Genomic DNA, 1,235 nt, shown 5'->3' with positions numbered 1-1,235 from the left:
ACATAAAACGTGTCCCCCTCTGCCAACATCCCTTCACACACACACACACACACACACACACACACACACACACACACACACACACTCTCTCTCTCTCTCTCTCTCTATCTCTCTCTCTCTTTCTCTCTCTCTCTCTCCCTCTCTCCCCCTCTCTCCATCTCTGTCTCTCAGATGAGGAACAAGCTCAGGGGGAGGTCTTGGGATTAGTTCTGATTGGTTCTGATTGGGTCACATGCCCATCACTGAACCAGTGGAATGCTGCATGCTAATTGGCTAGTTCTGGGTCAAATGCCCACCTCTGAGGACAGAGGAAGAATCAACTTGTTTAATTGATCCACATGGATGGGCTGAGCTCGGCAGAACTTCCAGCAAAACTTGAGTGCTGTTTTTAGAAAAAATAAATGGAATATATTTGAAATGAAGAAAAACATTATATCTCCACTCAGGCATTTCTCTTTCCTGGGCAATTGACTGGAGGGTGCATGGGGTAAACTCATCCAGGCTGCAATGATTTATTGAAAAATGCCATTCTTATTCAAATGGACAATTCATAAAACTTGACTAGATCCAAAAGCCTGGCCGGGCACGGTGGCTCACGCCTGTAATCCCAGCTCTCAGGGAGGCAAGAGGCGGGAGGACAGCTTGAGCCCAGGAGTTCGAGACCTGCCTGGGCAATATAGCGAGACCTCGTTCTCCAGAAAAAGGAAAAAAAAAAAAAAAAAAAGGACAAAAAAAAAAGCGTAACTCCCCTTAAAGCAACAACTCCCCTGCCCCCACTTTTAAACACTCCAATGAAAGGGTAATGCAATGTATTAATACATATTAATAATTAACACCCTGGCCGGGTGCGGTGGCTCATGCCAGTAATCCCAGCACTTTGGGAGGCCAAGGCGGGAGGATCACAAGGTCAGGAGATCGAGACCATCCTGGCTAACATGGTGAAACCCCGTCTCTACTAAAAATACAAAAAATTAGCCGGGCATGGTGGCAGGCGCCTGTAGTCCTAGCTACTCGGGAGGCTGAGGCAGGAGAATGGCGTGAACCTGGGAGTCGGAGCTTGTAGTGAGCCGAGATCGCGCCACTGCACTCCAGCCTGGGCGACAGAGCCAGACTCTGTCTCAAAAAAAAAAATAATAATAATAATAATTAACACCTACTCTTAGGGATACCCTGCTCTTCACTTAGCAGAAGATGTTAGATAATAGGCGAGCAATTGATCAAAAGGTCAGAGGATC

The 1,235-nt window shown here is 46.9% G+C and overlaps 1 pseudogene; it reads left to right on the top strand.

Moving 5' to 3' along the window:
• LOC654338 (brain cytoplasmic RNA 1 (non-protein coding) pseudogene) lies at positions 578-780 on the top strand (annotated as a pseudogene).

This window comes from Homo sapiens, chromosome 21, assembly GCF_000001405.40.
Source record: "Homo sapiens chromosome 21, GRCh38.p14 Primary Assembly".
Lineage (NCBI taxonomy): Eukaryota > Metazoa > Chordata > Mammalia > Primates > Hominidae > Homo > Homo sapiens.
Note: the sequence above shows the minus strand (reverse complement) of the source record. Positions and strands in the feature narration are given on the sequence as shown.